We start from the raw sequence: 23,783 nt of genomic DNA on the forward strand, positions 1-23,783 counted from the left end.
AGTATAATTAAATGCAAAGTATGCCTATAAGCTATTTTAGCATACATGTTATGTGGAAAGTACAGAACCATTTTCTTTCCTTTTATATATTTGTAGGAGATAAAAATGTAATAAAATGCATACATTATTATACTTTTATGGTAAAACTAAATTTATTATATTAAAAACACAATTCCCTAAAAGAAAAGATATTATTATTGAAAACAGATGTAATTGTATTGAATGTAATACCCTGGGAAAATTAAACAAGAAAGACACCTTAATTAATGAAAAGGATTCATTCTAAATATACCCTTTCTTTATCAGACACAGCTATGCTTTCTGAAACCTCACCCCTCTTGTTAGTTAATAGCAGAATTCACAAATGTTCTTTATGAATTTAAAGTGTTTTACTTATATCATGTTGCTTTCTTTGGATTATGAAATCATAGATTCCTTATAGACCTGGAAGATTTGAAGACCTTCTTGTCTAGTTTTATAGTTCTGAGAACTGAGGCCCAAGAAATTTCAGTATTTTCTCAAAAACTAGTTATTTACAGCTCGCGGTGGCTCATGTCTGCAATCCCAGCACTTTGGGTGGCTGAGGTGGGTGGATCACGAGGTCAAGAGATTGAGACCATCCTGGCCAACATGGTGAAACCCCGTCTCTACTAAAAATACAAAAATCAGCTGGATATGGTGGTGCGTGCCTGTAGTCCCAGCTATTCCGGAGGCTGAGAGAGGAGAATCCCTTGAACTTGGGAGGCGGAGGTTGCAGTGAGCTGAGATCACGCCACTTCACTCCAGCCTGGTGACAGAGCGAGACTCCGTCTCAAAATCAATCAACCAAACTAACTAACTAACTAGTTATTTCCAAAAAACGAATGCTAGGGCCCAGACCAGAACCTGAAATCTCTTGCTCTCTACTCTGGAGTTCTTCCATAGCTCCCACACTGAGTAAAGGAAGTTAGTAAGTAAATTCAAAGCACAGCTACCTCAAAAATGAAAAACAGAACACTTCAAAATGTGTACTTTTTAGCATAAGATCCATTATCCAAGAGCCTAATGCTTTCTTGTTCTAACACAATGATTTGATTGTGTTTCCAATATACAGGTAATAGGAGAGTAGTATCCAAACTCTAGCATGTGGAAAATTGTGTGTTCAAAAAGAGGTATAAATTATGGCTTTTAGATAGTATATTTGTCATTTACCTATAGAGTGGCTTCTGTTTTACAAGACTTTCTACCAGATGTCACAGGGCAAAACTTTTGGAGGTATTTTCCATTTGCTACTTAATAAAAAATATATGTATACATCTGAAGCCCTCTTTTAAATTTACTTCAAAGGAAAAAATATCTGCTGCAAAGACTCTTCAGATTATTTATGAAAAATGAATTGTCATTTCATCTTAGAACAAGGTAAACAAAGCCATATAAAGCATTGCTCAGAACTGTCAGAGATGCATACAGCTTTTAAATCAGAAGGGAGACTTACTGCTGCATTTTAAGCCAGTGCTTTGTTATGCCACACTATGTAAGTAATTGAAATGATGAATGAAAAACACAACGTTCTAGCATATATAGTGATAAACATGCTATCAACACTCTTGTTAACTACCGCAGAGCATGACAAATGAAACTGATCCACTGACCTTTGTGAAATAAACTACTATCTGTAGGCTGTGTGGAAAGCTTGTTAGATGGACTGTTGTTTGGACAACATATAGTTTTAGTAGCTATCAATAAAAAAGGACTCAATTAAATGCTATTAATTTAGTGACTTCCCCTGAAAACATGTTTCATCCACATAAAAGTATCTCTATAGACTTATTGGAAGATAAGAGAGTCTAAAGCTTTTTGAGAATCTTTCTGAAAATTTATCAGGAAATAAGATATTGAGTGCAGAATTGTTGAGGAACAGTCAATATATTTAACTGTATTTAACTCAGTGAGCCCAGCTTAGCAAAGCTGCTTGGTTTTTCTTTCTTTCTTTCTTTCTTTTTTTCTTGTCACACACTCTTATGGGATATTAAAGTGTTCTAATTAAATTATCATTGAGTAAACTACAGTATCAGTACTGGCAGTCATCTTTTCCATTTTCTTAAATTAAGTGTTTATTGTTTGTTCTTTGAAAACTTAGGCCAATGAATATTTGCATAGATGGCATAAATGAATTGGTGTAGGCTTTCCACTCTAAGCCCATTTCGAAGGTGAATAAGCTCAGCTGTGGAGGGAGAGTATCTTCAAGTTCCTTAGCAGGTTGAAAGGGTAAATGGCAGAAGGCACAATATCTAGAATTCAGTTGCTGGCACCAAGTCCAGAGTTCTCTCTATGACCCAATGTTAAGAATGAGTTTCATCTATAGAAGCACTGGGCAAAAGTAAAACTTGGTGTTTTCATTTTGTCACATTTTTCTTAATGGAAATAGGAACAGATATGTTAAATAACTAAATTTACCAAACAGTTCTTTTTTGGGAGTTAATTCAGCAGGAAACCTCTTATAGTTTCCCCTTTCTAGGTCAAGAGAAAAACATTCTAACAACACTAGGGGATTTTGAAGTACATATCATATCTCCCAAAAGAGAATTATGCAATCAGAAAAATGATTGCTTAACTTATGATTAAAGAAATGCAGACTACATTATGACAGCCTAGTGCATTGCCAGTCTAGCTTTGACATTAACTTGACATGTGTCTCAGTCCAGTGAGTTGATCCCACAGAATTATTTTTTTGCCCTATGTTTTATGATGCTTACAGAAAAGAATGATGTTGGCTGCACCAAGAGCAGCATGAAGGGTCTTCACTGTGCAGAGCAGTAGCATGGAGTGGGGACACATACCCTCTGCAGGGATAAAGATAGTTCCTGACGAATATCAAAATAAGGTGACCACTCTATGGTAATTACCTGGCAAATTCTGCCCCCAAACGGAACATTTTGTTAAATTAGAGAAGACAACATTTCCTAACATGAGACTGTTTAAGAATTTAACCTCAACTCTAATGGGAAATAGAAGCACAAACAGAATGACAGTGGTCACCTAGAGTGGCAACTATCACCCAGTGTTCTGAGGATTATGTCTATTCAGATTGAACTTTAGATTTGCACTTGTAAACATTCAGCAACCAGGAAAGGCTATTCCATTGGAACCAACACTAACCATTCCCAGAACATTAATCAAAGACCACCAAGTCAGCCGGGCGCGGTGGCTCACGCCTGTAATCCCAGCACTTTGTTTTATTGACTAATGTTTTATTGAACCCAGGTTATTATAGTTAATGGACAAAATTTTAACCCTTTTAAGCCCTAATATTTTATCAGAATTATAAAAAGGATGATAAAATGGGAACAGAAATAGAATCTGATTCACAAAGTAGTAGTGGGTGGTAGGAGACAATATCCATGAAGCAAGTGTCCATCACAGTGGTTGACATGCACTAAGTCCTCAATAAAGAGTTCTGTTAGTATTATTAACAATATGTTAAAGCTGTGAGGATGAGTGTGTGTGCATATGTGTGTGTGTATGTGTTTTGCCTATATAAGCTTGTCTGTTTATTTTTCAATAATTTAGGTGCTTTGAAACAAAACCTTTTGAAGTTTTCTAAAAACACCTAATGAACAGATTTCATTATAACAAACAAATAAGCAAACATTGCCTTTAGAACTGAAGTAGTATGGATGTATATTATAAATATTTATTGTAGATTATTTGAAAATTATATATTAAATCTGAGAACTTTGATAGAAGAGGGTTTTGGTCTGAAACATATAAATAGAGGTGAATTAAAGCAAACAGAACCTATGATCCTTCACTTATACTATCATTTATGAGTGATTATTGTGGAAACTTTTAAATTAATTTCTTCTCTGGCAGAAAATACATATAGATATTACATTTCATTAAAAAATCTTTTCTAACAATGATTCTTCTCTGTTATCTCACTAATAAGGTCTTTAAAGTATCTTTTTCATTTCTAGCCTATAATGATAAAAACTATCATGAGAAATTTTTCTTCATTGTCCTAGGTTTCAAAAAAATTATACTTTACATATCTCAAAAATTTCCTGTCATTAAAATTGCACTTGTATTATAGGGGGAAAATTCTCATTTCATCAATGAGCCCTAAAAATGCTGATTGGGCAGTGCCTAAAGCCTTATGTCCTGATTGAATTATAACCTGGCACCTCACTCTGCTGCAGTCAAATCTTAGGGTGTTCACCAAACAATTTCTGGGCAAAGGGAGCAATTCAGGACAAAATAAGCCATGTTTTAAATTTATTCCTAGTCATGTGTAAGAGGGACCAGAAGCAGGAAGGTGGAGTTCCCTGGCTGTCTTTCTGGCTTCTTTCTGTGCCATTCATTCATTTAATTTTCAACAATGCTTGGCCTGTTTGCTATCTTCTGAGAGCTAGGGGTCCACTGGTGAGCAAAATCAGATGCTCAACTTATACTCATGGAATTTAGAGAGTTTAGGAGGAATGTGAATAGTAATAAAAACAAATTATGAGTATCAGTGTAAAATTGCAACTGTGAGAAGAGCTGCACAGGAGAGATTACTGGTACCTGGCCAGAGACATTAGGAAAGGCTCTCTGGGGGAGATACTGTTTGACCTAAAGTCTGAAAGGATGAGATGGAATTCCTTAACAGAAAGACCTTTTAGCAAGATGGGATTTAGTGACAGCAGAGAACCAAAAGAAGGATGCAATGGCCAGAACAGATTGCTGAGGGGCAGTGTGGAACTAGAAGAAGCTGGAGATGTGAGCAGGAGCCAGAGAATTCTGGCCTTCATACACCATGGTAAGGAGTTCCCTCTTTATCCCCAAAGCCATGAGAGGCCTTTAAAGGGCTTCGAGTAGTGGTATGTAGTGGTTTGACATGGTCAGATTTGCATTTTGGAAAGATGCCCACTCTGGCTGCAAGGCTGAAACAGATTGTAGGGAGCGATGGTGGTTGGGGAGAGATTAGTTAGGGGGTTACTTTGGAATCCACATGAACCAGGGGAGTGGCCTAAAGTAGCATCGTGGTGGAGGTGGAGAGTAATGGTTATATTTAAGAAAGTTCAGTTTGGAGAGTGGGGGAGAGGGGGCCAGGAGTGAGGCCTAGTTTTCTGGATATGAGACTGGAGAAATGGGGATACCATTTGTTGAGTTAGGAAGCAATGGAGGTGGAAGACCTGGTTTTCAGTAAATGATCATCAATTTTTGTTTCTAATACATTGAGTTTGTAGTTTCTTTGAGGCTCCTGAGGGGAACTGTCAAGGAAGTTTTTGGGTATTGGGGGTCTATTTAGGGATCCCCTGCACTCTGGGCCACGGCTATGCCTGGCCTTTTGGGGGACATTTAAATTTCCCTCACAAACTTTGGAATCTATGTTGGGTTTAGATTTTGGAGGTGAATTCTTTGGCACCAGCCTGTGCTAAATTTCCTCTTAGAAGTTCCAACAGCCCCTAAGGGTCCTGTTGGAACAGAACTCCTCACTCCTCTCCACACACAGCTGCCTTGAACTTCTACCCCATGTCTAGTATCTCCTTAAGTCTTCTTTGAGCTACAGGGAGAGATGACTCCTGGAAATTGCATCCTCAACGCTGGTCAATTTCTTTCCATCTTATCTAGTCTGTTTGAACCATATTCACCAGCAGGCTGTTAGGTCTGGTTCTGTTTATCGATTTGCCTGTGGATCTGTGCTTAGTTGTTTGATGAGGGGCCTTTAATGGTAACCTCTTCTTCCAAGGGCATTATCAGTTTCCTGTTGCTTCTCGGCTGCCTCCAGCTTATACTTCTCATTTCATTTTATTTCAGCTGGAGCTACTTATTAAATGTCATGAAAACTTCCTGCTTATCAGTAGGAGTTTCTGCAGTTCTCAGCTATAGGTAGACCTGAGAATATTGACAAGTGTTGAGCTTACTCATATCACTAGGTTCTGTTTGATAGTTTGTCTCTTAGATAACTACTTCAAAGCAAATTTCTAGAATCCTGTACTTTCAATTTTATAACAAAAAAAATGCTCAGCAAATACAGTAACGACAAATCATTTCCTCTCAAAAGAGCAAGATCATTTTCAGTATATAGATGTCTATTTTTTAACATTGATTGACTCTTTCATATACTTTTTAATTTATTTGACAAATATTTCTTAGGCCCATCTCATGGGTTGAATTAGAAGGAAGAATTCCTTCTATTTCCTTCTATGTCTTTCACTTAGAAATTGACCAAGGACATTTCTGCCGTCCAATTAATCCAGGGAAAAATTAATGGTTCAAATGCTCCTGGCAGCAATAAAGTTAACTAATTTTTACCCAACTTCTCAAAAACTTAATGCTCAAAAAAAAAGAAAGAAAGAAAAAAAAGCCCTTATTCACTTGTTAGAAACACTTTGCTGATTTATTTCTCAACATCCCACTTCTGGTATATTAAAAATACTGACTGGAATGTTTATAAACCTGTAAGCTTCATTCACAATTCTGTGTGAATCTACCTTGTCATAAGATTTTTATTTTTGTCTACTTTAAGTTTAGGCTGCAGAGATAACTTGGCTCACTGTGTCATCTTTTAATTATCATAGATATGTCTACGATAGATAATTTAATTAAAACACCTTGAATATATCTGCAAAAATAAAATGAGATATTTCTCGATGTTTTCCAATTATCACCCTGTGAATTTTACAAGAAAGAAGGAGTGTTATATTCAAAGTGGCTCACACCTCTAATCCTAGCAATTTGGCAGGCTGAGGTGGGTGGATTGCTTGAGCCCAGGAGTTTGAGACTAGCCTGGGCAACATAGTGAAACCTTGTCTCCAGAAAAAATGCAAAAATTAATTGAGCATGGTGGCATGCACCCTTAATCCCAGCTACTCAGGAGGCTGAGGTAGGAGGATCACATGGGCCAGGGAGGTGGAGGTGGCAGCGACCAGTGATTGTGCCACTGCACTCCAGCCTGGGCAACAGAACAAGACCCTGTATCAAAAATCAAACAAAACAAAAAAACAAACAATAACTCAACCTCAACAAATGGATATATGAAGAAACTGAGTCATAGAGCAGTGAAATTTCTATCAAAGATTATTCAATGGTGTGGCTACAGAAACTGATAAAACCTTTAGTAGGAAATGAAACACTGCAAATGGATGCAGCTACCTACAGTCAACCTCCATGATCTCCTCCCTGATGATTCTATAATTATTTTTCCTCATTTTGAGTTTTTATCACACACTAAATCACGGTCATTCTTATGTTGTTTATTTTTGTTTAAATGTTGTTTATAATTGTTTAAAATTATTTTTTATCTATGCGTGGTTTTGGACATAGATTGTGGCTGCTAGGGAGCAAGGACTACAACTTTTGTTTATTTTTTATCTCAGTGTATGGGGTTCAGAGATAAGCATGTGCTTAGGGGGCAGTGGATGTTTAGTTGGTTATAATTCTGTGTTTTGTATTTTGTACTGTTTGGAGTGGAAAGCTCCTGATATAACTCTGTTGATTGATGGTCAGTAAAGTAACCCAAGACCAAAGAGGTCTTCTGTCTGAGTCTCTCATCCTGCCATATCTGCAGGAAGGTACTATAGTAGGAAGAGAAGAAAAAGCATGCTTTAGGATAAACTTTTGAAAAACTTAGGTGTCAGAACTTAACAATGGTCTTCCAACTTCAAATTCCATATGTTGTCTACCTGTTCCTTAAAAAACACAGGCTGGGCATTTGGGATATAGGGTCAAATTCCCAAATATCCTGGGAGTGTGTATTATGTACAGAAATATTTTCTAACATTAAAATCAAGAAATGGGAAAACAACTAAAATGCTTTTACAGTGGTTTACAAATTTAAAAAGATAATTGAATATTATAATATTTCAATAGCGAAAGTGATTAAAAAAATTCAAAATCCTGATTAAAAAAAAATCCTTGCCATTGTGGAAATACTCGATTTTTATTTCTTCAGTCAAGTACTTCAGTTTGTATTCCAGTTTATGAGCAGCCAGTTGTTGAAATATTAGTGCCTAGTCAAGGTCAAACATCTCACAGAAGGAACATTATTCTAAAATGCAACACTTCTGTGCAACTGGAGTGTGTATTTCATGAGCAGAATCCATTTGATTGGATTCTCTCATATTCACAAAACCCAGACTCATCTTGAATTGATAGCAAGAATGCTCTCTAACAACTATGGAATCATCTATGATCCACTTCTTTAGATATTACCTCATTTGGCCCTTGGTTGGGTAGAAGAGTCATTATTATTAACATGCATGTTTGAAAGTGAGGATCCCAAAGCCATTGTCAAACAAATTATTGTTCAAGGCACAAGTTCATAAGAGTATTGGAGGGTCATTTAATCAAATGCTTATCATGTGTCAGAATGATCAACTGGCATTAGGTTTTTTATATATTAGATAATGTATAAAAATTATATTTTATATATAAGATAAAGTATATGGGTTAAGAACATGGGTTGTGGTTTCAAATCCCTGTGTGATCTCTACTAATTCTATGACTTTGGGCAAATATAAAAACTTTTAAATATGAAGAAAATAATATCACTTACTTCCTAGAAAATTGAATCAGTTAAGGGATATACGGCTCTTAGCACCTATTTGCCCTCAATAAATAAAGCTCTCAGTAATCTAACCTAAACCACCCCCCCATACACCTTACCACAAACAACAACCCTTTGAGTAGAGCTGTTTTAATCTTCTTTCTTTATAATCACTCCTTGGCTAATCTCATCCAGTCTTATGGGTCCGAATATTGTTTATTCATTGATGGTTTCCGAATGTATATCTCCAATCTGGACCTCTTCCCTGAACTTGTATATCTAACTGCCTACTTGACACCTTCTTCTGTATGACTAATAGGCATCTAAAATGTAACATATCTAGAAATGAGTTCCTGATGTTCTCCTTCATCCAGCAGCTCCTGCAACCTTCCTGCTCCTAGGTCACGGCAATGCCACGCTTCCAGTCACTCAGGCCAGAAACATTGGTGTTCTTGACATCTCTTTACACTGCCTACTTCTCTCTTACACTCAACATTGGGTCTAGAAGTAAAATCTGTTGGTTCTACTTGCAAAATATGTTATCACTGAGTAACATACTATACATCATACAGTTTTTTTTTTCTTTTTTTTTCCATCTTTTTTTTTATTATACTTTAAGTTTTAGGGTACATGTGCACATTGTGCAGGTTAGTTACATATGTATACATGTGGCATGCTAGTGCACTGCACCCACTAACTCGTCATCTAGCATTAGGTATATCTCCCAATGCTATCCCTCCCCCCTCCCCCCACCCCACAACGGTCCCCAGAGTGTGATATTCCCCTTCCTGTGTCCATGTGATCTCATTGTTCAATTCCCACCTATGAGTGAGAATATGCGGTGCTTGGTTTTTTGTTCTTGCGATAGTTTACTGAGAATGATGTTTTCCAATTTCATCCATGTCCCTACAAAGGACATGAACTCATCATTTTTTATGGCTGCATAGTATTCCATGGTGTATGTGTGCCACAATTTCTTAATCCAGTCTATCATTGTTGGACATTTGGGTTGGTTCCAAGTCTTTGCTATTGTGAATAATGCCGCAATAAACATACGTGTGCATGTGTCTTTATAGCAGCATGATTTATAGTCCTTTGGGTATATACCCAGTAATGGGATGGCTGGGTCAAATGGTATTTCTAGTTCTAGATCCCTGAGGAATCGCCACACTGACTTCCACAATGGTTGAACTAGTTTACAGTCCCATCAACAGTGTAAAAGTGTTCCTATTTCTCCACATCCTCTCCAGCACCTGTTGTTTCCTGACCTTTTAATGATTGCCATTCTAACTGGTGTGAGATGGTATCTCATTGTGGTTTTGATTTGCATTTCTCTGATGGCCAGTGATGATGAGCATTTCTTCATGTGTTTTTTGGCTGCATAAATGTCTTCTTTTGAGAAGTGTCTGTTCATGTCCTTCGCCCACTTTTTGATGGGGTTGTTTGTTTTTTCTTGTAAATTTGTTTGACTTCATCGTAGATTCTGGATATTAGCCCTTTGTCAGATGAGTAGATTGTGAAAATTTTCTCCCATTTTGTAGGTTGCCTGTTCACTCTGATGGTAGTTTCTTTTGCTGTGCAGAAGCTCTTTAGTTTAATTAGATCCCATTTGTCAATTTTGTCTTTTGTTGCCATTGCTTTTGGTGTTTTAGACATGAAGTCCTTGCCCATGCCCATGTCCTGAATGGTAATGCCTAGGTTTTCTTCTAGGGTTTTTATGGTTTTAGGTCTAACGTTTAAGTCTTTAATCCATCTTGAATTGATTTTTGTATAAGGTGTAAGGAACGGATCCAGTTTCAGCTTTCTACATATGGCTAGCCAGTTTTCCCAGCACCATTTATTAAATAGGGAATCCTTTCCCCATTGCTTGTTTTTGTCAGGTTTGTCAAAGATCAGATAGTTGTAGATATGCGGCGTTATCTCTGAGGGCTCTGTTCTGTTCCATTGATCTATATCTGTGTTTTGGTACCAGTACCATGCTGTTTTGGTTACTGTAGCCTTGTAGTATAGTTTGAAGTCAGGTAGTGTGATGCCTCCAGCTTTGTTCTTTTGGCTTAGGATTGACTTGGCGATGCGGGCTCTTTTTTGGTTCCATATGAACTTTAAAGTAGTTTTTTCCAATTCTGTGAAGAAAGTCATTGGTAGCTTGATGGGGATGGCATTGAATCTGTAAATTACCTTGGGCAGTATGGCCATTTTCACGATATTGATTCTTCCTACCCATGATCATGGAATGTTCTTCCATTTGTTTGTATCCTCTTTTATTTCCTTGAGCAGTGGTTTATAGTTCTCCTTGAAGAGGTCCTTCACATCCCTTGTAAGTTGGATTCCTAGATATTTTATTCTCTTTGAAGCAATTGTGAATGGGAGTTCACTCATGATTTGGCTCTCTGTTTGTCTGTTGCTGGTGTATAAGAATGTACATTGATTTTGTATCCTGAGACTTTGCTGAAGTTGCTTATCAGCTTAAGGAGATTTTGGGCTGAGACGAGGGGGTTTTCTAGATAAACAATCATGACGTCTGCAAACAGGGACAATTTGACTTCCTCTTTTCCTAATTGAATACCCTTTATTTCCTTCTCCTGCCTAATTGCCCTGGCCAGAACATCCAACACTATGTTGAATAGGAGTGGTGAGAGAGGGCATCCCTGTCTTGTGCCAGTTTTCAAAGGGAATGCTTCCAGTTTTTGCCCATTCAGTATGATATTGGCTGTGGGTTTGTCATAGATAGCTCTTATTATTTTGAAATACATCCCATCAAAACCTAATTTATTAAGAGTTTTTAGCATGAAGGGTTGTTGCATTTTGTCAAAGGCTTTTTCTGCATCTATTGAGATAATCATGTGGTTTTTGTCTTTGGCTCTGTTTATATGCTGGGTTACATTTATTGATTTGCGTATATTGAACCAGCCTTGCATCCCAGGGATGAAGCTCACTTGATCATGGTGGATAAGCTTTTTGATGTGCTGCTGGGTTCGTTTTGCCAGTATTTTATTGAGGATTTTTGCATCAATGTTCATGAAGGATAGTGGTCTAAAATTCTCTTTTTTGGTTGTGTCTCTGCCCGGCTTTGGTATCAGAATGATGCTGGCCTCATAAAATGAGTTAGGGAGGATTCCCTCTTTTTCTATTGATTGGAATAGTTTCAGAAGGAATGGTACCAGTTCCTCCTTGTACCTCTGGTAGAATTCAGCTGTGAATCCATCTGGTCCTGGACTCTTTTTGGTTTGTAAGCTATTGATTATTGCCACAATTTCAGATCCTGTTATTGGTCTATTCAGAGATTCAACTTCTTCCTAGTTTAGTCTTGGGAGAGTGTATGTGTCGAGGAATGTATCCATTTCTTCTAGATTTTCTAGTTTATTTGCGTAGAGGTGTTTGTAGTATTCTCTGATGGTAGTTTGTATTTCTGTGGGATCGGTGGTGATATCCCCTTTATCATTTTTTATTGCATCTATTAGATTCTTCTCTCTTTTTTTCTTTATTAGTCTTGCTAGCGGTCTATCAATTTTGTTGATCCTTTCAAAAAACCAGCTCCTGGATTCATTAATTTTTTGAAGGGTTTTTTGTGTCTCTATTTCCTTCAGTTCTGCTCTGATTTTAGTTATTTCTTGCCTTCTGCTAGCTTTTGAATGTGTTTGCTCTTGCTTGTCTAGTTCTTTTAATTGTGATGTTAGGGTGTCAATTTTGGATCTTTCCTGCTTTCTCTTGTGGGCATTTAGTGCTATAAATTTCCCTCTACACACTGCTTTGAATGCGTCCCAGAGATTCTGGTATGTTGTGTCTTTGTTCTCATTGGTTTCAAAGAACATCTTTATTTCTGCCTTCATTTCGTTATGTACCCAGTAGTCATTCAGGAGCAGGTTGTTCAGTTTCCACGTAGTTGAGCGGTTTTGAGTGAGATTCTTAATCTTGAGTTCTAGTTTGATTGCACTGTGGTCTGAGAGATAGTTTGTTATAATTTCTGTTCTTTTACATTGGCTGAGGAGAGCTTTACTTCCAAGTATGTGGTCAATTTTGGAATAGGTGTGGTGTGGTGCTGAAAAAAGTGTATATTCTGTTGATTTGGGGTGGAGAGTTCTGTAGATGTCTATTAGGTCTGCTTGGTGCAGAGCTGAGTTCAATTCCTGGGTATCCTTGTTAACTTCTGTCTCATTGATATGTCTAATGTTGACAGTGGGGTTTTAAAGTCTCCCATTATTAATGTGTGGGAGTCTAAGTCTCTTTGTAGGTCAGTCAGGACTTGCTTTATGAATCTGGGTGCTCCTGTATTGGGTGCATATATATTTAGGATAGTTAGCTCTTCTTGTTGAATTGATCCCTTTACCATTATGTAATGCCCTTATTGGTCTCTTTTGATCTTTGTTGGTTTAATGTCTGTTTTATCAGAGACTAGTATTGCAACCCCTGCCATTTTTTGTTTTCCATTTGCTTGGTAGATCTTCCTCCATCCTTTTATTTTGAGCCTATGCATGTCTCTGCACGTGAGATGGGTTTCCTGAATACAGCACCCTAATGGGTCTTGACTCTTTATCCAATTTGCCAGTCTGTGTCTTTTAATTGGAGCATTTAGTCCATTTACATTTAAAGTTAATATTGTTATGTGTGAATTTGATCCTGTCATTATGATGTTAGCTGGTTATTTTGCTCGTTAGTTGATGCAGTTTCTTCCTAGTCTCGATGGTCTTTACATTTTGGCATGATTTTGCAGCGGCTGGTACCGAATCCTTTCCATGTTTAGTGCTTCCTTCAGGAACTCTTTTAGGGCAGGCCTGGTGGTGACAAAATCTCTCAGCATTTGCTTGTCTGTAAAGTATTTTATTTTTCCTTCGCTTATGAAGCTTAGTTTGGCTGGATATGAAATTCTGGGTTGAAAATTCTTTTCTTTAAGAATGTTGAATATTGGCCCCCACTCTCTTCTGGCTTGTAGTGTTTCTGCCGAGAGATCCGCTGTTAGTCTGATGGGCTTCCCTTTGAGGGTAACCTGACCTTTCTCTCTGGCTGCCCTTAACATTTTTTCCTTCATTTCAACTTTGGTGAATCTGACAATTATGTGTCTTGGAGTTGCTCTTCTCGAGGAGTATCTTTGTGGCGTTCTCTGTATTTCCTGAATCTGAACGTTGGCCTGCCTTGCTAGATTGGGGAAGTTCTCCTGGATAATATCCTGCAGAGTGTTTTCCAACTTGGTTCCATTCTCCCCATCACTTGCAGGTACACCAATCAGACGTAGATTTGGTCTTTTCACATAGTCCCATATTTCTTGGAGGCTTTGCTCATTTCTTTTTATTCTTTTTTCTCTAAACTTCCCTTCTCGCTTCATTTCATCTTCCATCACTGATACCCTTTCTTCCAGTTGATTGCATCAGCTCCTGAGACTTCTGCATTCTTCACGTAGTTCTCGAGCCTTGGTTTTCAGCTCCATCAGCTCCTCTGAGCACTTCTCTGTATTGGTTATTCTAGTTATACATTCTTCTAAATTTTTTTCAAAGTTTTCAACTTCTTTGCCTTTGGTTTGAATGTCCTCCTGTAGCTCAGAGTAATTTGATCGTCTGAAGACTTCTCTCAGCTTGTCAAAGTCATTCTCCATCCAGCTTTGTTCCGTTGCTGGTGAGGAACTGCGTTCCTTTGGAGGAGGAGAGGCGCTCTGCGTTTTAGAGTTTCCAGTTTTTCTGTTCTGTTTTTTCCCCATCTTTGTGGTTTTATCTACTTTTGGTCTTTGATGATGGTGATGTACAGATGGGTTTTTGGTGTGGATGTCCTTTCTGTTTGTTAGTTTTCCTTCTAACAGACAGGACCCTCAGCTGCAGGTCTGTTGGAATACCCTGCCGTGTGAGGTGTCAGTGTGCTCCTGCTGGGGGGTGCCTCCCAGTTAGGCTGCTCGGGGGTCAGGGGTCAGGGACCCACTTGAGGAGGCAGTCTGCCCGTTCTCAGATCTCCAGCTGCGTGCTGGGAGAACCACTGCTCTCTTCAAAGCTGTCAGACAGGGACATTTAAGTCTGCAGAAGTTACTGCTGTCTTTTTGTTTGTCTGTGCCCTGCCCCCAGAGGTGGAGCCTATAGAGGCAGGCAGGCCTCCTTGAGCTGTGGTGGGCTCTGCCCAGTTCGAGCTTCCAGGCTGCTTTGTTTACCTAATCAAGCCTGGGCAATGGCGGGTGCCCCTCCCCCAGCCTCTCTGCCGCCTTGCAGTTTGATCTCAGACTGCTGTGCTAGCAATCAGCGAGACTCCGTGGGCGTAGGACCCTCCAAGCCAGGTGTGGGATATAATCTCGTGGTGCGCCGTTTTTTAAGCCCGTCGGAAAAGCGCAGTATTCGGGTGGGAGTGACCCGATTTTCCAGGTGCCCTCTGTCACCCCTTTCTTTCACTGGGAAAGGGAACTCCCTGACCCCTTGCGCTTCCCAAGTGAGGCAATGCCTCGCCCTGCTTCGGCTCGTGCACGGTGCGTGCACCCACTGACCTGCGCCCACTGTCAGGCACTCCCTAGTGAGATGAACCTGGTACCTCAGATGGAAATGCGGAAATCACTGTCTTCTGCGTCGCTCACGCTGGGAGCTGTAGACCGGAGCTTTTCCTATTCGGCCATCTTGGCTCCTCCCAGCATACTGTTTTGTCTTATTTATTGTCTGCTCCCTGTTAGAAGGTAAGCTTCATGAGAGTAAATATTTCTTTCTTTTTTTTAACTTTTATTTTAAGTTCAGGGATATATATGCAGGTTAGTTGCATAGGTAAACTTGTGTCATGGGGATATTTTTTGTACAGATTATTTCATCACCCAAGTATTAAGTTTAGTACCTAAGAGTTGTTTTTCCTGATCTTCCTCCTCCTCCCAACCTCGTCCTCTGATAGGCCCCAGTGTATATTGTTCTGCTTTATATGTCTGTGTGTTCTCAGCATTTAGTTCCCATTTACAAGTGAGAACATGTGGTATTTGGTTTTCTGTTCCTCCATTAGTTTGTTAAGGATAATAGCCTCCAGCTCCACCCATGTCCCTGCAAAGAACATGATCTCATTCTTTTTATGGCTGCATAGTATTCCATGGTGTATATGTACCACATTTTCTTTATCCAGTCTGTCATTGATGGGCATTTAGGTTGATTCCATGTCTTTGCTATTGTGCATAGTGCTGCAATGAACATATGCATGCATGTGTCTTTATAATAGAATGATTTATATTCCTTTGTGTATATATCAGTAATGGGATTGCTGGTTCAAATGGTATTTCTGTTTTTAGATCTTTGAGAAATCACCACACTGTCTTCCACAGTGGTTAAACTAATTTACACTCCCACCAACAGTGTATAAGTGTTCCTTTTTCTCCACAACCTCATCAGCATGTTGTTTTTTGACTTTTTATTAATAGCCATTCTGACGGGTGTGAGAAGGTATCTCATTGTGGTGTTTTTTTGTTTTTTTTTTTTTCCTGAGATGGAGTCTCACTCTGTTGCCCAGACTGTGCAGTGGCACCATGATGGCTCACTGCAACCTTCACTTCCCAGGTTCAAGTGATTCTCCTGCCTCAGCCTCCAGAGTAGCTGGGACTACAGAGAGTAGTCCAATTTTTGTATTTTTAGTAGAGACGGGGTTTTGCCATGTTGGTTAGGCTGGTCTTGAACTCCTGACTTCAGGTGATCTGCCCACCTTGGCCTCCCAAAGTGCTGGGATTACAGGCATGAGCCACTGTGCCTGGCCTCATTGTGGTTTTGATTTGCATTTCTCTAATGATCAGTGATATTGAGCTTTTTTTCATATGATTATTGACCACATGTATGTCTTCTTTTGAAAAGTGTCTGTTCATGTCCTTTCTCCACTTTTTAATGGGGTTGTTTGTGTTTTTTTTTTTCCTGTATATTTGTTTAAGTTCCTTATAGATCCTGGATATTAGACGTTTGTCAAATCTATAGTTTGCAAAAATTTTCTTTCATTATGTAGGTTGTCTGTTCACGTTGTTGTAGTTTCTTTTGCTGTGCAGAAACTCTTTAGTTTAATTATATCCCATTGTCAATTTTTGCTTTTCTTGCAATTGCTTTTGGCATCTTAGTCATGAAATCTTTGACTATGCCTATGTCTTGAATGGTATTGCCTAGGTTGTCTTCCAGGGTTTTTAAAGTTTTGCATTTTATGTTTAAGTCTTTCATCTATCTTGAGTTAATTTTTGTGTGTGGTGTAAGGAGGGGGTCCGGTTTCAATCATATTTGCATATTACTAGCAGGTTATCCCAGCGCTATTTATTGAATAGGGAATCCTTTCCCTATTGCTTGTTTTTGTCAGGTTTGTTGAAGATTCAGATCATTGTAGGTGTGCAGTCTTATTTCTGGGTTATGTATGCTATTCCATTAGTCTATGTGTCTATTTTTGTACCAATACCATGCTATTTTGGTTACTGTAGCCTTGTAGTATAGTTTGAAGTAGGGTAGCGTGATGCCTTCAGCTTTATTCTTTTTGCTCAGAATTGCCTTGGCTATTTGAGCTCTTTTTTGGTTCCATATGCATTTTAAAATAGTTTTTTTCTAGTTCTGTGAAGAATATCAATGGTAGTTAAATAGGAATAGCATTGAATCTATAAATTGTTTGGGGCAGTATGGTCATTTTCACAATATTGATTCTTTCTACCCATGAGCATGGAATGTTTTTCCATTCATGTATCATCTCTCATTCCTTTGATCAGTGTTTTATAGTTCTCCTTTTAGAGATCTTTCACCTCTGTAGTTAGCTGTATTCCTAGCTATTTTATTCTTTTTGTGACAATTTTGAATGGGAATTCATTCCTGATTTGGTTCCCAGCTTGAGTGTTGTTGGTATATTAGGACTGCTAGTGATTTTTGCACATTGATTTTGTATCCTGAGACTGCTGACATTGCTTATCAGCTTAAGAAGTTTCTGGGCTGCAACTGTGGGGTTTTCTAGAGGTAGGATCATGTCTTCTGCAAACAAGGATAGTTTGACATCCTCTCTTCCTGTGTGTGTGGCCTTTGAGAGTAAATAATTTCATAAGCTTTATATACTAATTCATAGTGCTTAAAACAGTCCCTCATACATAACAAGTTCTCAATAAATATATGTTGAATGAATGAATAAAAAATAAAGTTATTTAATAGATGAAGAAACATAGACTCAGAGGAGTTGTGTAACTTGCCCAAGTACAGGAGCAGGTAAGCAATGGCTTCTATGTTTATGTGACTCCAAAGCCCACATTTATCAATACTATACATTTTGTCCAGGTTAATTTCTGGATCTTGACCATAGCTTGGATGTGTCATGAAGCACATATTAATATAATGATGTCTTAGCACATCCTCAAGAAATAAATATTTCTTATAACAATATCAGTCAATGTTCTAAAAATATGTTTTTCAAGGGCAGGTGCTCACTGGCCAGAGTGCAGAGAAGAACAGGAAGGTTGAGAGGGCTGAGAAAGGGACTTCTGATCTTGCCAGAGTGCCCAGATTTCTGAGAAGGAGGCATGTATTGCTCAGGCTGCGAAGGCACCCCTTCTCTTCTTCATGCTCTTCCTATTTTCCTCTTTGCTTGTGTCCATTTTGTCTTTCCATTTTTCCCACCTCCCTTCTTATCCTTTCCTTCTCTCTTGAGCTTTGTCTCTATCCTCTTGCCCCAAACTGCTCTCTTTTCTCTTTATTTTGTGAGAAGCTCCCTCCCCCTATATATGAACATCAGGGCTGCCCAGTGTGGCTCATATAATATGTGAAACTTGGCCCTTGAATCCCTGAAATTTCACATGAGAAAATCATCTTAAATGAATGTTAAGAGACCTTAGGATAGGCAAAGATTTTATAAAGAGGTCATAAAAGCAAAGGTTGATAAATTAGGCTTCATTAAAATTAGAAATTCTGATCACTAAAAAACATTAAAGAAATTGAAAATGCATGCCACAGACTAGGAAAATATATTTGCCATACATATATCTAACAAAGGGTTTATATCCAGAATATGTAAAATATCCTACAAATCAATAATAAAGAACGCAACTCAATTAAAAATGAACAAACCTTGAACAGACACTTCACAAAAGAATATATCCAGAAGGCCAATAAGTACATGAAAATGCTCTCAACATATTTTTTTTTGTCAGGGAAATGTAATGAGATCCCACTACACATCCACTAGAATGACTAAAATTAAAAAACCTTCAATACCAAGTATTGGCAAAGACACGGAGTCACTGAAACTGTCTTACATTGGTGGTAGGTGTATAAATTGATACAACCACTTTGGAAAGCTAAGCATAAGTCTATCCTATGACCCAACAATCCCATCCCTAGTTTGAAAAAAATGAGAACATATGTTCACTAAAGACATGTACAAGAATGTCCACAGTAGCTATATTTATAGCAGAAAAAATTGGAAATAATCCTTATATCTATCAACAGAATGGATAAATAAATGTGGTATATCCACACAATATAACACCACACTGCAATAAGAATAAGCTATACCTATGTATAACAACACTAATGAATCTCATAGACATACGTTGATCAAGAGAAACCCGACACAACAGTGTGCACACATACTCTATAATCCATTATATGATGTTCGAAAAAGGCAAAAGTAATCAATGCAGACAGATGTCAGAATAGTGGTGACCTCTGCTGTCTAGAATGGGGCACAGAGGGGCCTTTTTTGATACTGAAAATGTTTTAAGTCTTAATCTGGGTGGTGTTACACAGGGATATATGAGTGTGAGAAATTGTCAATCTACATACTTTTTTTTAAACATAATTTACTGTATGTATGTTACACCTAAACTTAAAAATAACTTGTCTTTGGATGGTATTTACTATCCAAAGATTTATACATAAGTATTCAGCCTCTAGCCATAATAACCCCAAACTAGAAATTACCCAAATGTGAGTCAGCAAGTGAATGGATAAGCAAACTATTGTACATCTGTACAAAGAACTATTACTTAGCAAGAAAAAGGACTAAACTTTGAAAATGTGGCAGCATAAATGAATCACAAAATCATTATGCTAAGTGAAAAAAGCCAGACATAAAAGATGACACACTATATGATTCCATTTACGTAAAGTTAAGAAAATGTCAAGTAATTTATAGTGACAGGAAGCAGATCAGTGACTGGTTGCCTGGGGTCCAAGGAGGAGGGAGGGGGGAACTGAAAAAAGGCTTGAGAGAATTGTATGTCGGGGGGTGATAAAAATGCTCTGTATTTTGATTGCCTCAGTTGTTTCCCAGGTGTATACATGTCAAAATGCATTAAACTGTACCTTTTGAAGAGATGCAGTTTATTTTCCATGAATTATATCTCAATAAAGCTGGTGAAAATACATATCAAACTAAGAATACTCAAAGTCTTGAGCTTGACCAAAGAGGCCCAGAGAGCACTAGCTCAATAAACTTCAGTTTCCTTCCTAAGACTCCACACCCCAAATAAAATTCAAGTTTCCCTGAGAAGGACATGTGTAAAGGAGAGGAATGGTCCCACTTGCTTTGTTTTGAAGAATGTGGGTTGGGAGTAGAGAGCAAAAATGGATGGGAGAGGAAGACAGGTATCAGTCAGGGTCAGAAGACAGACACCACACCAGTCACTTCAACTACTGTGAACTATGTAATTGAAAAAGCACAAAAGAGAACACAGAGGAGTCAGGGATGTAGCTACTGCGGGATGCAGCTACCTTCATGAAGGTTGGGGAACAGAGGGGAGAGGTTAGAATAATTAAAACTTAGAAACTCAGAGTCTGGTCTTGGGGCCTGAGACCCACACCCCTGACGAGGAGGCCCAGGCTGGCTGGTGCTGGTGTCTCTGAAGGGGCAATGAGGTAGTTTCTCAAGTGTCAGAGAGACTGCAAATTGGATTCTGCTGCTGCTATAGAAAGAAGCTGCTAATGCTGGGGTGAAGAGACATTGCTGGGTGACACTAACAGGAAGAAGAGGCAAACAGGCAAAAGCACATCCTTTCTCCTTCCACCAGCCTTGCTATCTTCCTCCAGTGTCCCCACTGGTAGAGTCCAACAGCTGGGAAACCAAAATGCAGCTTGCAAAGTTCCAGGTCCAGCATCATAAAGTGTAGTATAAAAAGGGGCAACGGGCAGTTTGGAGTTGAGATTGGGCCTCAGACTATTTTGGGTTTAACTCTTGGCTTTGCCTTTTACTCATTGTGGAACCTTGAGCAAGTTACTCAACCTCCCTGGGCCTCAGATCTACAAGAGTAAAACAAAGGTAACATTCCCTTCTAAGTTTATGTTAGTGAGCCTTCAATAAATGGACTCTACTATTTCATTTCTTTGTTTATGTAGCACAAGCTCCCCTCCTCCCCCACCAATGTTCTTTCCTAAATTCTTTCCCAGCATTGTGGCCCAAATTACCTCACCCTTGGGATGGCTCTTCTCTGAGGGGCTTGCCAGTTTCCTCATGAGGAGCCACCAATGGTTTGAGATTCTGAGAACTAGCATGTGGTGGAGTTAGACTGTGGTCTGTGGTGTATCACTTGGATTTCAATCCTGGGGAAGCAGTGAATTAAGCAGCTGGCTTGTGATGCTTTTCTCTCCTTGTACCAGGAGGATACTCCTGGGAGCAAAGAAAGCAAATGGCTGAATGTAATCTTCTTATAAACATGCTTATAATTGACCTTCTGGAAAATAAACTAATGAGATTTGCTAGGAGGAGAGTCCATTTTAGCAGGAATGACCCTGGATTAGAATTGCTTATGGAAAACTAAAGTAGAATCTATGGATTTATAAGGCCTGGCTTCCTGGACAATTTCGTTTAAATCTTATAATGATCTGGGCATAAAATGGAGATGATTTATAACCCCAAGTCTCCCTACTGTATCAAGTAATCTACCAATCTCTTTAGAGACCCTGTCATTGCTCTGGGCCAGAGAATGCATGTCTGTCCCAGAGAGGATGACCTGGGAACCACACTCCATGTACTGGGTCTCTCCCTGCTTCACCTGGGACTCTTGATTAGTCAAGGTTCTCCAGAGAAACAGAACCAATGAAGAGACTTACATACAGATTTATTTTAAGAACTGTCTCATGCCATTATGGAGGCGGGCAATGACAAGTCCCAAGATTTGCAGTCAACAAGCTGGAAATACAGGAGGGCCAATGGGGTAGTTCCAGTCCAAATGCTAGCAGGCTTGGGATCCAGAAAGAGCCAATGTTTCAGAGTTTGAAGACAAGAAAGACCTGATGTCCCAGTTCAAGGCAGTCAGGCCAGAGGAATTCCTTCTTATTCAGAGGAGGGTCAGCCTTTTGTTCTATTCAGGCTTTCCACTGACTTGTGGAGGCCCAGCCACATTAGGAAGAGCAATCTGCTTTATTTAGTCTACTGATTTAAACGTTAACCTCATCCAGAAACACCTTCACAGACACCCCTAGAATAATGCTTGGCCAAATGTCTGGGCACCCTGTGACTCAGTCAAGTTGACTCATAAAGTTAACCATCACAGCCTCTTAATTACTGTGTCCTTACCATTCTTAGTAAATCTTGATACTGAGTAACAGAGAAACCCAAACTAACTCAGAGTTTTTAACATGGCCAGCCATGCTTTTTCAGTGAACAAAGTATTCTTGAGCCCAAATTAAAAGGGGCTCTAGAGGCGCTTTACAGTGTGTATCAGACACATTGGAGTTTTAATTCACTAAATAATATTTGTATTTCTGGAGTCTAAATCATATGTTTCTCTGGCTATTGTAAGTTTTCCTTCTCCAAAAGAATAAGAGTAAAGTGAACACTTAACTTTCTTTAAAAAATAAGGGTTCTGGTCTCAGCTTTGCCACAAATGGACTGTGTGACCTTGGGTACAACCTTCAACCTTTCGGAACCTCAGTATCTTCATCTGCACAATGGCAGCAGTAGGGTGGCGGGTGTGATTATAATGCCTGAGTTGACATGAAAATCAAATGAGAGATGTAGGAAAATGCCAAATAAATTGTACAAAAGTACAAAATTATATTTCTGTCAGAGGTGTCATCTTTTCTGTCTACAGCTATACATTCAAATAGAATGTCCCCATGATTAAAAAAACAACTTTCCATATCGTCCAGTGCTTTTACTAACAATGCCTAAACATGTAGTAAAAGTATGAATTCTCTCACTTATACTGATACTTACAGATCTCCAATTCATGTTTTCTAAAACATATTTTTATTGAGGTTTATTCCTCATAAAGTGAAATGTACAAGTCTTAAGTAAACAGTTCAATCACTTTTGACAAATGCGTATACCTGTGTAACCCATATCACTATCAAGATATTGAAGATCTCTGTCACCTGAGAAAGTTCCCTGTGCCCTTCTAGACCATCGCTCCCTTCAGAAATAACCATTGATCTGGTTACTATTGCTTTGTATTAGTTTGGTCTGTTCTAGAAATTTGTATTCTCTTGTGTTTAGCTTCTTTCATTCAGCATGTTTTGGAAATTTAATCATATTGTTGTGGATATAAGTAACATTAGAATTTTTTTTGAAGATTCCATTGTATAAATATGCCATAATTTCTTTATCCATAGTACTGTTGATGACCATTTGTATTATTTCTAGTTTTTAACTATCAAGAAAAAAACTAAGAACAGTCTTATGCAAGTCATTGTAAAAGCTTCTGTTTTCCTTTCTTCTAGAAAAATACATAGGACTGGAATTGCTGGGTCATAGTGTAGATGATGCACATTTAACTTTTAAAGAAACTGCCAGTTTCCGAAAGTGTATGAGGGATTCCATATCCTTGCCAACATTTGGTGTTGTCAGATAGTTTTCAATGTAGCCATGGGTATGTTCATGATATCACTGATTCTTTCTTTTCTTTTCTTTTCTTTTTTTTTTTAACATTTTCATGGATTCTTAATCTGGTATCTATAGAACACTCTTGGGGTATGTTTGTGAAATTATATGCAAAAATTTATGGTTGCTTACCTTTTGAGTGTATGTGGATAGAGTCTATAATTTTCAGCTTCTTAATGCAGTCCCTCATCCCTTCAAGTGTTTACATTTATACAAAGGGCAGTCTCTAAATGTGTGATTTCTGGTCGGTCCGATAGCATAGGCCATAATAAAATATCAGGAATCAACTATTTATGCTCTGACATCTTATAGATTTTGTTTTACTGTAAAATGCAGTTAAGTAACACAAATTCTCACTAGCTCTTGATGTCTAAAAATACTATTTGGCCCAGATTTCTAGAATGTCCTCATGCATCCACAGCCCTTTCTATAATGAAAATCATCTCCTCTGGCCCTGTGTTATTAGAAAAGGAAATTTACATTTCTGATTTGATTAAAGAAAAATCAGTCATGGTGACTT

General features: G+C 38.4%; 1 long non-coding RNA gene across 1 annotated transcript in view; it reads left to right on the forward strand.

Moving 5' to 3' along the window:
* Positions 1 to 23,783, forward strand: part of NPHP3-AS1 (NPHP3 antisense RNA 1) — a 152,462-nt gene that overhangs the window by 29,801 nt on the left and 98,878 nt on the right. The window lies entirely within an intron of this gene.

Source organism: Homo sapiens, chromosome 3 (genome assembly GCF_000001405.40).
Source record: "Homo sapiens chromosome 3, GRCh38.p14 Primary Assembly".
Taxonomy (NCBI): domain Eukaryota; kingdom Metazoa; phylum Chordata; class Mammalia; order Primates; family Hominidae; genus Homo; species Homo sapiens.